Consider the following 14,335-nt stretch of genomic DNA (forward strand, 5'->3'; position numbering starts at 1 on the left):
GCCTTAACTATTTTTCTTTATTATAGCAGCTTCATGGAGTTTGGCCACAAGATGTTGTTGACGGAACGTGTGTAGCAGTAAATAACAAGTATCGACTAATGGCATTTGGCTGTGTGAGGTATAATTGATGTAGGCTTTTGCATTTTTAAGAGTTGTTGCAAAAAATACTGGTTTTTTTTTTTGTAAACATAAGATGTTCCTAACATACTTATAAACTGCATCATGCTATCATAATTTATCAGTCAACCTTAATATGAAATGTAAAAGTATTTTATTAGATTGAAACAAACAAAAGTAAAGGGCAGATTTTGGAGGTTGAGCATGTTAATTTGTAAAAGTTAGCGTTTTCTTCAGTGGTGGAAAATTGAGTTACAAGTTAAACAGAATAAATCAGTTAAAGTTTAGGTTCTTTATTGTTTAAAAGAGGATTTGGAAGATTTTTTTAAATCTTAATTTTTAAGACATCAGCATTCATGACGCCTTCAAATTAGTGAGTGTGCTTTAGTTAACAAGCAAATTTAAAGTGCACATATAAAACCAGTTTCTTGCCTTAGTTTATTAAATAGAGATTTTAGAAAAAAATTGAATAAAATTATTTATTCAACAAGTATCTGTATGCCTATCACATACCAGCCATAGTTCTAAGCACTTGATACATTAGAAAACAAAGATACTGAACTTGGTTGAGCTTAAATTTTAGCTCATAAATTTTAGCTAAAATAAAACGATTATATTAGTTGTTATAATGCCTTGCAATGTATATAGTGCTTTTTAGTTTTCTAAACTCTTTCTTAAATAAAAAATCCTATGTTGCCCTCAAAATGAGACTTGGTTGTTCTATAGAACATATATCTAGTATAGTCTCCAGCCATATCATCACCACCCAATTTAAGTATCAAAGATTTTTTTTTTTTTTTTTTGAGATGGAGTCTCGCTCTGTTGCCCAGGCTGGAGTGCAGTGGAGCGATCTCAGCTCACTGCAAGCTCCGTCTCCTGGGTTCACGCCATTCTCCTGCCTCAGCCTCCCGAGTAGCTGGGACTGCAGGCGCCCACCACCATGCCCAGCTAATTTTTTTTGTATTTTTTTAGTAGAGCAGGCATTTCACCGTGTTTGGCCAGGATGGTCTTGATCTCCTGACCTTGTGATCCGCCTTGGCCTCCCACAGTGCTGGATTACAGGCGTGAGCCACCGTGCCCGGCCAGATTTTTTTATTAGTATAAATAATTCACATAAATCACTTTCATTACACTCTTAATAAACTCTTTGTAAAGTAGGGAATCCTCATCCTCAACTTTTTCTCAATACATTGATCCTCATTGAGCAGTTAAATGTAGAAATACGAGTAAGTTTAACTTAGTACAAGAGAGAAGGAAAAGCTTTTTTTTAATGTTTGTGGATTGGATTCAGTCATATTTTGTTTAGAATTTTAAAATGTATGTTCATGAATACATTTCACCTATAATTTTCCTCTTTACTCTTCTGAGTAAGGTTATGGCTGTCTCATAAAGCAAGTTATGAGAATCCCTCCCTTCTTTGTCTTCTCTATTCATCTTTGAATGTTTGGTAGAATTTGCCAATGAGAAGCCATCTAGACCTAGAATTTTCTTATTGTGGATTTTTTTGGACTACTGATTCAATTCAGTTTTTAAAAATATACATATATATAATGTATATATTTTAGATATATATATTTAAATATTATAAATATATATAATATATATTTTAAATATATATATATATTTATTTTATTTTATTTTATTTTTTGAGACAGTCTCGCTCTGTCGCCCTGGCTAGAGTGCAAGAGCGTGATCTTGGCTCACCGCAACCTCTGCCTCCTGGGTTCAAGTGATTCTCCTGTCTTAGCATCCTGAGTAGCTCGGATTGCAGGCATGCACCACCATGCCCGGCTAATTTTTGTATTTTTAGTAGAACGGAGTTTCACTGTGTTGGTCAGTCTGGTCTCAAACTCCTGACCTCGTGATCCATCCACCTCGGCCTCCCAAAGTGCTGTGATTACAGGTGTGAGCCACTGGGCCCGGCCCAGTTTTAAAAATAGATTTAAGAAGATTCAGATTTTGTATCTCTTCCTATGTCATTTTGGCAAGTTGCATTTTTTCCAGGAATTGGTTTCTTTCTTATACACCTTCAAACTTACTGGCATAAAGTTTATAATACCCTTTTTATTTCACATTGTGAAACAAAAATATGCATACAAAGTAGTACATAATCCAGATATTCATAGTTTTAACGTTGTAGTAGAAACACCCATCTCTTCACAACTGGATCAGTAAATAGAACATTACTGGTCTCCAGTCACAAACTGCCTCTGCTACTTCCTAGTCACAACTCTTATTCCCTCCTTGACTCACTTAGTAACTGGTCAACATTGTGAGATTCATCCATGTCATTTACCAGTAGTTGTAATCATTTTTTAAATTGGTTTATAAATAACGTTCCATTGTCTGAATATAGCATAATTTATCCACTTTGCTGTTGACATACTTTTGCCTTATTTCTTGGTTTCTAAAAAAGGAGACATTCTCTTGTATAATTGGAATATCTTTATCACATGAGATAATTAATGATAAATCCCTAATAGGATCTAATACCCAATTTATATGCAAATTAACCCAGTTGCCACCAGCTAAATTTCTTCTATAGCTCCTTTGTTCCAAACAGAATCGATCAAGATTCATTAATAATATTTGGTTATTATTTCTCTTTAGTTACCTTTTAACTACAATAGTCCTTATGCCACTTATTTTCATGACATTGACTTTTTTTGAGTCTGAGTCGATTCTTTATAGAATATCCTGCATCCTAGATTTGCCTTATTGTTTCCTCATGATGGCATTTACCTTGTTTATCTGACACCTGTCGTGACTAACCTGGAAGCTAGTTCTTGTTGAGCAATACAGTCAAGTGACTAGAAAGCCCACACATCAGGCATGGAAAAGTATTTAGAGAAAATACACAGAGACAGAAGCAGTGGCAAGTGTGCAGTTCCATTTACTGCATTTGGGGCCAGCACAAGGGTGGGTGTTAGAATCCAGAAGAAGTACTCCTCCCTAGGCTATGGGCTTATAAGCTACATGATTGGGAAGTACTAGCCCTTCCCAGGATAATGTAGGTAGACTCTTGGCCTATAGCTTTTCAGTCACCTCAGTTTTCATCAGCTACGAGACTACAAGTTCTCTTCTAGCATGCCCATGGGTTAGGGTTAAAGTTTTGTGATTCTAGCTGTTGACATAACAAACCAGTGTCTGCTAGTCCAGATCTGCCAACACTTATCAGGACTAATTACCTTGAACACTAGGTGATAGCTGGTGTCCTTAGAGTTGTGTAAGAAGCCAGCTTCCTTTTAGGATGCCAGTTTGCAGCAGATCAGTATTTTAACAACCTTCCTGTTAACCTAAATATTTAAAGGTATTACTAGATTCTGGTTACACATTTTGTCATGGGTGATGATATATATTTCCTATGGTATCATTTAGTAATAATGTCAAGTTGTTTCAGTATTAATGACACTAAATTTGATCACTTATGGTGATAATAGTCATATCTCTCTTATAGAGATTTGCTTTGGAGTTAGTAAGTCCTGTCTTTTTAATGAAAATATATTTTTCTGTTACATTGGGCTGGTGAGAAATGGAAGGAAAAGTAGTTTAAAGAATACAAGCACTATAGAATACCTAAAAGATTGTCAGACTTTTATAAGTAGTAACTTAGCACCTACTTCTTATATTTAAAACATGGACTCCTCACTAACATTTTAGAGCTCAGCAACCCAGGGTTAGCAGTTGACAGTTGTCAGATGCAAAGCAAAAACAAACACCTGCTACCCACTTAGTGCTGTCTCTCAGCAAGAGTTGATCTATTTGGGCAGGTAGTCTGGAAAGAAATCTTTTTCAGATATTTGGCTTCTGGGTATGATTGAATGACAGATGACATTTTCCCTCCCACCTGATACAGCCAAGAAAACGGACAAAAATATGAAAGAGCTGTTTTGAATTCAGAACACAAACATAAGGTAACAAGGGACAGTGATTTCTGAAAGATGAGAAACAAAATTATCTCTCTGTAACTGCCCTTAGTTTTTATTATTTTGAGTGTTTGTAGGCTGCAGCACAGGATTGGGGAGATACATCCTGAGCTGAGATAAGCACATGGAAATCAGAGAATCTGGGAAAACCAAGGCAGCTAGAGTTCATAATATAGACACCAAAGAGGTGGCACAAAGAGAGAACTTCAGAGAGCTGTAGAGGGTCTCTCTTGAATATTAAACTGAGACATGGAAGATATTAGAAAAAGACTGAAATTAAACTTCTAGAGGTGAAAACTATGATGTCTGAGATGAAAAACATACTGTATGGAACTAACAACAGATTAGACATTGCAGAAGAGAAGATTAATGAACTTGAAAAACAGAAATTATCCAAAATGGAACACAGAAAAAAAAGAAAACAAAAACAGAGTATCAGTAAGCTGTGGGACAACTTTAAGGAGGCTACTATTGCAGGTCTTTTAGTTAGTCCCAGTTCTAATCCTTGAGAAGAGGTAGGACCTGGATGGGAATGGATCAAAGCTGCTGTGAAGAAACCATCTGATTTCTCCTACCACCAAAAAAAAAAAAAACAATCTGGTAGTCATAAACCAGTGTCATCCTATTATGTGCAAAAGCATTCTTATATTAAAAAGTGTCTTTAAGAACATTTGTTTCTCTTTCTCACTATAAATGTTGCATAAGTAATCTAAAACAGGAGCCTCATTTTCAAATGCTGAATGTGCATTAAATTTTTGAACTGAGAATATACCATGAGCAGAAATGAGACTTTTCTGTTATCCTCGTAGTTCAATTTTGAAATGTGGCTTAGACGTATTATAGAGATTTTACTTCTGGCTTCAGGCCCTTCAGAAATTTGACCCTTGTAAAGATGTTTTAAATTAAGTAATTATATATACCATATACACAAAAAAGCATATAGATTTTAAAAATAAAATGTTTATAAATTACCATCCAACATAAGAAATAATACATCACCAGTGCTGATGAAGCCTCCTGTTTACCCCTCTTCTTTGATACTCCCTTCTCCACCAGAGTATCACTAATCTGAAATTTGTATACATTAACTCTTTGTTGTATTTTTACCACAAATATATTTACTATTAATACTGTATATCTACTATATATATATCAAATATGTATGTTTATATTTACTATGCTTTTACACACACACATGTTTTATATCTTAAACGTATATACTGTTGACCGTTGAACAGCCCAGGGGTTAGAGGTACCAACCCCCCAACACAGTTGAAAAATTTACATATAACTTTTGACTCGCCCAAGACTTTTAACTACTAATAGCATACTGTTGACTGGAAACCTTACTGACAATATAGTCAATTAACACATACTTTTTATTTTATATATATTAATATTATATATTGTATTCTTACAATAAAGTAAGAGAAAAGATTATTAAGAAAATTATAAGGAAGAAATAATGTACTTACTATTGATTAAGTGGAAGTGGATCATCTTAAAGGTCTTCATTGTCACCGTGTTCATGTTGAGTAGGCTTGAGGAAGAGGCAAAGGAGGTATGTCAGGTGTGGCAGAGGCAGAAGAAAATACATGTATAAGTGGGCCCATGCAGTTCAGATCCATGTTGTTCAAGGGTTAACTGTATTCGCTATCCATGTGGCTAAAGTTCATTCATTTTCAGTGCTGTAAGGTATAGTATTATATTGCTATACCATATGTACTATAGCCAAATAAAAGTTCATTTTTTTCCTCATGTTGCTAGATAGGCTATTTCCTTTTTTAAAAATTATCACAATAGTACAATGGACATTGTACATATCTCTAGTAAACATTAGACAATAATTTCTGGGATATATCTGGAAGTGAAATTGCTAGATTAGAATATGCCTTTGTTCAAATTTATGAGATGACTGCAACTTATTGACAAAGTGGTTTTGTTCTAGTTTACACTCCCACCAGCAAAACATAAGAGTTCTATAATGCTTTTTCTATTTGTATTTGTCTTTTTTCACTAAAAGTTTTTCGTTGTTGTTTTCACAGTGGTTCTGTGCAGGTCTATACAATAGATAACAGCACTGGAGCCATGCTGCTATCTCATAAATTAGAGCTAACAGCAAAACAGTATCCTGGTGAGTCTTTTTTTTTTTTTTTTTTTTTAACATTTTTAATGTACTGGTATTGCCATTTGTAGCAGATGCTGATTTTAAGTTAAACAATACATGTCATGCTATAGGTCAAATATTGGGGCTCTGGGTGTGTAAACTGGCTCAAGTCTGGAAATTGATTGAGGGGCCGTGATTCTGTTTTAATAATTCAAATTAGTATTTTGTCCATTTGACCTAGAAGTTTTCTGCTTGTATAAATTAAGTGGGAATGCAGTAGGCTTCCTATCAGTTTCACTTCCAGGAACACCATAATTAATTAGCCAATGCCCAAGTTCTACACAAGTCAGACTATTCTGATTGCTGCTTTGCTTCTGCTGTCCATTACAGTAGCTACGCCCACCTTACCTTTGATAGTTGAGTGCCGTCACTTGGCCCCTGCTACCTCCGGATCCAGTTATTCCCATTTTGTATTTAAATTTTGTAGTTGAGTGACTGAGGTTCCCACTGTTAGATCTGACATACAGAGAAGTGCAATTATAGGGTTCTTCAAAGATGTAGCTGCTGCCCTTGTAAATCTGTTTTGCAAGGCATCAGTCAAGGGTATATCTTCTGGACCCTCCCAGCTGGGATGAGTAGGTCTAAAGTGACTAATCCACTCCACCTTCTGAATCTCCCTAAGCCTTTGGATCCCTTCCTCTACATTAAACCAAGGGAGATCAGGCATTTCCAGCTCACTCACAGTGGGCCATCTTTTAATCCATATTTCAGCTAACCACGCAAATCAACTATTAGAACCTTTTTTAACTCCCCGAGCTGCAGCTTTAAATGCAGAATCCCTACTTAGTGGGCCCAAATCAATAAATTCAGCCTGATCCAACTCTGTGTACCTTCCATCATTATCCCACACCCTTAATATCCATTCCCATGCCTACTCTCCAGATTTCTATTTATGTAAATTAGAAAACTCAAGCAGTTCCCATAGTGCACCTCCTCATGGGTCATACTCTCAACCTCACCTCTAGAGGCCTGCCAGGACTTTATTGATAGGTCTAGAAGCAAACAGAGGTGTTGGGAGTGGCTCCTGAGGAGAATCAACATTATCTTGCCTGGCGACTGCCTCAGGGGAGGGCATCACTGTTGCCTCAGGCAGCACAGGGTTTATAATCCTCAGACAAAGGTGGAAGGGCTAATGGCAGCATGGGTCCAGGAGGGGATGTTGCCACTATTGGGGATGGGGAAAGCTGTTTCTTCTGGCAAAAAAAAAGGTTCACCAGAGTTTACAAACTCAGTGAATCTAGCTTCATCAGGGTCCTCCCACACATCCCCTTTCCAAGTTGCAGGGTCCCATTTTTTTCCAATCAGTGCCTTCACTTTAACAGTAGACACCTGGTGAGGCTGTGCATGCACCTTTTGTTGCAGATCAGCCACTCAAATGATAAGAGTTTGTCTCTGTGTTTCCACAATTTTAGCTCTTTCTCTATAGGAGATAAGACCCTCACTCAGGGCAATCTTAGCAGTTTTGAGGCTCAGTATCTGCTTCTGGGAGATGGAATCCCTGAGTTCATCATTTTCTTTCATCACCTTGTTCACTGAACTTAGGAGCAACCAACTAGCTTCATTATGTTCCTTGATTCTCCACATATGGTCAAAGGTGTTATGTATAGAGTCACTAAACTCCTTGCGTCTCACAAGCAATGAATCAGGAGTGCCAAATGCATTTATTTTGCATAACTCTATATAAACAGTTCACGTCAAGGACTGTCAGTGCGTACTATTAGAAATAGAGTCCTTAGCATTTTGGGGTCTAATGATATTAGGCAGCCAACTCTAGAAACCCCAAAACCAATGAAGGAACTCCATCCTTAATATTCTGTACCTCTAGAATCACTCCTGGTACCAATATCTGTATTAGTAAGGTTCTCTAGGGGACAGAACTAATAGAATAGATACATACATATTTATAAAGGGGAGTTTATTAAGTATTAATAAATGATCACATGATCACAAGGTCCCACAATAGGCCATCTGCAGGCTGAGGAGGAAGGAGAGCCAGTCCGAGTTCCAAAACTGAAGAACTTGGAGTCTGATGTTTGAGGGCAGGAAGCATCCAGCACACGAGATGTAGGCTGGGGGGCTAGGCCCGTCTCTATTTTCACATTTTTCTGCCTGCTTATATTCTAGCCGCACTGGCAGCTGATTAGATTGTGCCCACCCAGATTAAGGGTGGGTCTGCCTTTCCCAGCCCACTGACTCAAATGTTAATCTCCTTTGGCAGCACCCTCACAGACACACCCGGGATTAATACTTTGTATCCTTCAATTCAGTCAAGTTGACACTCAGTGTTAACCATCACAATTAGGATATTTAACTATTCATGTTGACTTAGTGTTACCCACATTTATACCAGTATTTTTGCCCACCATATCTTTGACCAACTCATACCTTCTTCTTGAGACCATTTTCTGCCTGAAAAACCTCCCATACATCCCTTGGAATTTCTTTTAATGAAGTTTTTTGAAGGTAAACTCTACTTTGGGAGAGTCTGAAATGTACTTATTTTGCTGCTGTGATTTAATTATAGTTTAACTTGGTGTGCTGTTTTGGATTGGCAGTTATTTTCTTTTTATACATTGAAGAATTTGTTCCAGTGCCATTGGATTTCCATTGCAGCTATTGAGAGGTCCTCTGTCAAGTTGTCTTCTCTTTTCAATAGATTGGTCTTTATAGCTACCTTTCAGATCTTGTCTTTGTTTTTGGCTTTCTGCAGTTCAACTGTGATGTGGAAGGGAAGAATTTTGTTTGTTTTTCAAATCCTGCTTGAGACTTAGGCTTGCTGGATGAAGATTTACATCTTTGAACTATTTCTGGAAAATTCTCAACCAGTATTTCTAAATATTCCTCTCCCCTAATCTATTTTCTGGAACTCAGATATACATTACACTTTTTTCCATGTTTCTTAACCTAACTTTAAATTTTTTAAAATTTTGTTTCTCTAGACTGCATTCTAGAAATTTTTTCTCCATCTAGGTTTGCTGATCCTCTCCAGTTATGCCTAATAATGTTGTTTGATCTGTCCATCAAGTTCTTAATTTCAGTTATTGTATTTTTTATTATTTAAAGGCTTATTTAGCTCTTTTTCCAATCTGTATGCATCCTGCTCCTTGTTTGAGTCTTCTCCTTTATTTTCATTGGCTATAAAAAGCAGTTATTTTATATTCTGTGTCTGTTAATCCCAAAATCTGAAGCCTTTCTGAGTCTGTTTCTGCCATGTCTTGATTCTTTGTGTTCTTGCTCGTTTGTGTGTGTATTTTAGGATTTTTGACTGAGAGCCGATTGTTTTCCTTGAAGCATATTTTTTGTGTGTGTAGCGCTTTGAGAACTGGATAACATTTGAGTTTTTCCAGAGAGGATTTAAATTTCTTTGCTTCCGCTGGTCACTTGGGAGCACTACATCAGTCTGTGACCCTTTGCATTGTATTCTCTGTTTGAACCACATTAAATTGCACAAATTACAAATCAGAGTGAGGGTTTGTGGCTTCAGATTATCAAGGGAGTATTATTTTCCATTCACTTCCACTGATGAAACATGAAAGTGTTCCTTGCTAATTCTTTTCCTACATGGCAGAGGCTTTTTTCTCATTCTCTCTTATACCATGGATATAGTCCATTGTAGTCCCAGCTTTACATGGGTATCTTTTGTTAGATTACCTGTCTTGGGCAAGCTCTGAGCTTTATCTCCTGTTCCTAACATGCTGTGAGTCATCAGAGGTAGAAGTAAAGGTCTCCAGGGTTTGGCAGAAAAATTCAGGGAACAAGCACTTTGTCTCAGTATTTTTTATTGTTTTGAGGATTTAAGTATTCTATTCACCATCTTAGTTTTTTCAGTGTGGAAGTCATTCAGGGTGTCATTTGCTGTACTTCCAGAAATAGAAATTTGCTCCTTACGTTTTTTTAATCATTCTTACTGTGTAGCTTTTTTTAAGGCCTGCATATGTTTTTTTCTAAAGACAGCTTTTACTGTAACCTTATCCTTGTTTTACAGAAACTGATTTATACAAAGCCAAAGACTTTTAAGATTACGCAGTTATAAGTTAATCAAGCTAATAGTGACTAGAAACAGCTTTCACTTCTTACAAATCACCTGTGCACTGAGTTTGTTCTGCTTAGATCAGGACAAAACTAATGGCCTTACTAACTTTAAGTAGTCCTAAATGACCAGGATTTATTTTTGGAAGCAGTCATACCTTTCTACTCATTTAGATTTGAAAATACAGATTGTATTTGAAAAAAAAAAAAAAACAAGTATTTCTGAAGCAACTATTTATTTTTAACTCTTCTCACTATTTCCTAACAGACATTTGGAATAAAACAGGAGCTGTTAAATTGATGAGATGGTCTCCTGACAATAGTGTTGTAATAGTGACCTGGGAATACGGAGGCCTTTCTTTATGGAGTGTTTTTGGAGCACAGCTGATTTGTACACTTGGAGGAGATTTTGCGTAAGTCAAAAAAGACAATTTTTAGATAAAATAACTCCATTATTTCTCACAATGCATGCATACAAAAACCTTGTGTCAGAACTTCCCTTTTTGCCTTGACTCTTACCTTAAAACAATTTGCAAAGTTCATAATCTGTTCGAATATACTGATTCTCTGAACATTCATTTTTTAAAAAATGTACATCTCATTCCACAAAAATGTATTTATTTATTGAACCCCTGCTGTATATATGACAGCATGTTAGACACAAAGCAGAATCAGGCATGGTTCTGCTTTTAGGTAGTTTATAATCTAATGAGGGTGGTAAGGCATGTACATAAATAGTAGAAAGTTACGTTATCTCATTAGGTTAATGTAGGTTAGCCCAGTGATTGATAGGAGTAGGTTGGTATCTCTGCCCACTTCATATACTACCCTGAACCTCAGTTCTGATGAAATGAGCACACCTTTAAAAGCTGCATATCTCTGGCAAGAAGTCACTTGGACCTCGGAAAATGTGGCTGAGAGATATATACACCTAGGTGTATTAACCCACAGTTTTGTATTTCATGCATTATTATGTATTTCTATTTTAAAGGAGCAAAATCCGTTTGATTTTTTAAAAAACACTAAATTTTATGTGTATTATATGTAATTGGAAGGCTGTATTATATTTAGTTTCTGTTCTGTTTCAGTTATAGGTCTGATGGCACCAAAAAAGATCCCCTTAAGATCAACTCTATGGTAAGTACTTTCTATAAAAAATTGGCATGGTATTAAAAAAACTTGGATTTTTCTTCCCTTTTTTCACTCATTTTTATTTATTTAATTTTTTGAGACAGGGTCTTACACTGTCACCCAGGTTGGAGAGCAGTGGCAGATCATAGCTCACTGCAGCCTCTCTAAGCGATCCTCCTGCCTCAAGCTTCCAAGTAGCTGAGACTCTAGGCACACCACTATCCACACACGGTTAATTTTTTTGATTTTTAGTAGAGACGTGGTCTTGCCATGTTGCCCAGGCTGGCCCCCTTTTTTCACTCATGTTGATCTGATAAAATCACAAAACTATTTTAGTCTCAGCAGACTCTTCATTATACAGTTCTTGCTTGATGAAAGTCTTTTGTTTTTTTTTAATTGGAAGGCTGCCTGGTTTTCAGTATTTGCATTTTGTTTAGATGTGGCCAGCAAACCCCTGTCATCTTTATGATGATAATGACTGTTCAGATGAGGCCTTTTTTGTATGTGTCTTCTCATGGCCTGCTTGCTTTTAACATGAGGTGAAATGCTCATTGGGCATTTTTCCTGGAGGACATGCACTTGTGCATTACTTGAGGATATCTGTATCTATATATCTATATATATGTATACAGTACCTTGAGCATATTTTTTAAAATTTACATAGATGTATGTCAAAGAGAATTATGGTCACTGTTGTAAACAATACAGGTTGAGTACCCCTTAACCAAAGTGCTTGGAACCAGAAGTATTTCAGATTTTGGAACTTTTTGGATTTTGGAATATTTGCAAATACATTCTTGGGGATGGGACTCAAGTCTAAACACAGAATTCCCTTATGTTTTATATATACCTTATGCACATAGACTGAAGCTAATGTAATGAATTTGTAATAATTTTGTACATAAAACAAAATTTTGACTGCAGCTCATCACATGAAGTCAGGTGTGGGATTTTTTTACTGTGGTGTCATATCAGCCCTCAAAAAGTTGCAGCTATTGGAGCATTTCAGATTTTTGGATTAGGGAGGCTTAACCTGTATTTTTATTTTTTACCTATTTTCAAGAGTTTCTGTAGAAAACAGAGATATAAAACCCCTGTCTTTACATAACAAGTTTTTCTTGCTATAGCCCCTCTGCATACCATCCTTTTTAAATTAGTGACTATGAGGCTTGTCGCTTCTCTTCTCTCTTGCTCCACAGAGGAAGACATTCTTCTGATCTTGAGTTTCTTGTAGAATTAAAACCGCCATGGTTGCCTAAAATAGTGGTTCCCAAACTTTCACCACCAAGGACCCCTTCTGATGTCTTTGCCCACCTCCATAGTTTAAAATAAGTTTTCACCACACATTTCTATAAATACCAATCAGTGCTTCTGAATGGCATGCAAGAACCAGTGTTGTCCGTCTCACTAAGTTGATATTTTAACCACAAACTAAGAATCTAAGCATTATTAGTTAAAACTTAGGCAGCTTTATCATAGGAAAACATAAAAGTTCTATTAAACTTTTGAAATTTTGCAACAATTCATGGGCTACCCCTGCCCCTTCACCATTTTCTTGGCTTGAAGATTGAGAATCACTAATCTTTAAAAATACTATCATGGAGTCTAGTTACAGAATATTAAAACTGAATGGTTCTGGAGGAATTTATTTGAACCTTCTCATTTTACAGAGGAAGAAACTTATATCCCGAGAAACGAGACAGCTTGGCCAAGGTAATATATACAAAAAGCCAAGCTATAATGAAGACTCTAGTCTCACAGCTTCCAATCCAATGTTTTTTGCTCCATACAAAACTGCATCTGTTGTAGGGGCTTCTTTGCCAGGCTTCTACTGGGTAACCTGGGGTGTCTTCTGTAAGGAATTTCTTTGTATTTGAGAGGCAGCTAAATTAAAGCAATAGAGAAGTTACAGAGCACAGTAGGTATTTTTAGGATTAAGACCCTGAAATTGGCATTAAGAATGGTAGGTAATGTTTTCACTTTTGCAGATAGAGAGCAGTGATGGTGATTTCCTCTGGAGTTAGTTAAGAGGTAACTGAAGGTGTGATTCTTGTCTGTGTTATCACGGTTTCTCCAACCTTCACAAATCATTAATAATGCTATCATTGGCTATTTCAGAATTTGAATAATTGAAGCTAGAAAGGGATACAAAAGCCTTTTATTGCTCTGACTTTTTTTCTCCCTCCTCTTCTCTCTAAGAGCTGGGGTGCAGAAGGCTATCACCTATGGGTAATCAGCGGATTTGGTTCTCAAAACACTGAAATTGAGTCTGACCTCAGGAGTGTAGTTAAACAGCCCAGCATCCTGTTATTTCAGTTTATTAAGAGTGTACTCACTGTAAACCCTTGTATGGTAAGTATATTTAAAGCTCTGATTTTTTAGTGTCTTTTGTGTTAGAAGCTCAGACCCTTCTTTATGACATATGTATGGCGTATACTTCTAAAATTGGCATATTATCTTCTTTTCTATGATTCTTGTGTTTCTTTTTAATTTATATTAAATTTATACCAAAATTTTATTTCTCAACGGGTTGTGTTTCTTTGGTCTTATTTTTTTAAAAGGGTCATAAGCAATTTGACGGAAAGCAATGTTTATATATTTATTTAAATAATTTGAGTAATTTAGTCTTTATCTGAATAGCATTTCCCAAAGTGTGTTCCTCCAGGCACTACTTATGAGAGATATTAGTAGCAGTTCCACAGGATTTTTTAAAAGTTTTGTTTCCATATAAGTGTCAAATAAAGGTAAAACAAAATTGTAGAGATTGATTGTAGGGCTCCAGAGGCTTAAATATGCCATTGTGCATCATGAAAATCCAGGAGGTGGTATATTAAAAACAGTGTTCCCCATGCTTATTTAACTGTGAATTTTTAAGAAATAGCTTAAAGAAAGTATGTCTGAGGACTTGCTTTTAGAAACACCGCCCCAAACACTGCCTCTTGTATTTCTATCTGAAATAGTGTAT

At 36.3% G+C, this 14,335-nt stretch overlaps 1 protein-coding gene across 14 annotated transcripts in view; it reads left to right on the forward strand.

Moving 5' to 3' along the window:
* Positions 1 to 14,335, forward strand: part of RIC1 (RIC1 partner of RAB6A GEF complex) — a 149,527-nt gene that overhangs the window by 103,255 nt on the left and 31,937 nt on the right. For 13 of the 14 annotated variants that reach the window (XR_428426.4, XR_007061331.1, XR_007061330.1 and 10 more), the window contains 5 exons: positions 27 to 118; positions 6,089 to 6,177; positions 10,508 to 10,652; positions 11,328 to 11,376; positions 13,570 to 13,722. Coding sequence is in view for 10 of the 14 variants with exons in the window: in NM_020829.4 (NP_065880.2) it covers positions 27 to 118; positions 6,089 to 6,177; positions 10,508 to 10,652; positions 11,328 to 11,376; positions 13,570 to 13,722 (528 nt within the window). In the remaining 4 variants the exon portion in view is untranslated. Of the gene's footprint in view, positions 1 to 26; positions 119 to 6,088; positions 6,178 to 10,507; positions 10,653 to 11,327; positions 11,377 to 13,569; positions 13,723 to 14,335 lie in introns of those variants that run through there. The other variant, XM_011517967.3, reaches the window with a different exon arrangement.

Source organism: Homo sapiens, chromosome 9 (assembly GCF_000001405.40).
Source record: "Homo sapiens chromosome 9, GRCh38.p14 Primary Assembly".
NCBI classification, from domain to species: Eukaryota; Metazoa; Chordata; class Mammalia; order Primates; family Hominidae; genus Homo; species Homo sapiens.